Source organism: Homo sapiens, chromosome 19 (genome assembly GCF_000001405.40).
Source record: "Homo sapiens chromosome 19, GRCh38.p14 Primary Assembly".
Lineage (NCBI taxonomy): Eukaryota > Metazoa > Chordata > Mammalia > Primates > Hominidae > Homo > Homo sapiens.
The window spans coordinates 43,645,609-43,646,094 of NC_000019.10; positions in this window are offsets into that span (position 1 = coordinate 43,645,609).

Consider the following 486-nt stretch of genomic DNA (forward strand, 5'->3'; position numbering starts at 1 on the left):
CCATTCTCCTGCCTCAGCCTCCCGAGTAGCTGGGACTACAGGCACCCACCACCACGCCCAGTTAATTTTTTGTATTTTTAATAGTGACAGGGTTTCATCATGTTAGCCAGGATGGTCTCGATCTCCTGACCTCGTGATCCGCCCGCCTCAGCCTCCCGAATTGCTGGGATTACAGGCATGAGCCACCAAACCCGGCCAAGTTTCTGTGGTTTTAAGCCACCTTGCTTGTAAGATTTGTGTGTGTGTGTTTTTAATTTTTTATTTTTAAGTATTATGAATACATAATAGTGGTGTATATTTACAGGACATATGTAATATGGTTTTGGGTTTTAGTGTTTTTTTTTTGGAGACAGAGTCTGGCTCTGTTGCCCAGGCTGGAGTACAGTGGTGGGATCATGGCTCACTGCAGCCTTGACCTCCCGGGCTCAAGGGATCCTCCTGCCTCAGCCTCCCATGTAACTAGGACCACAGGCATGCCCCACCACA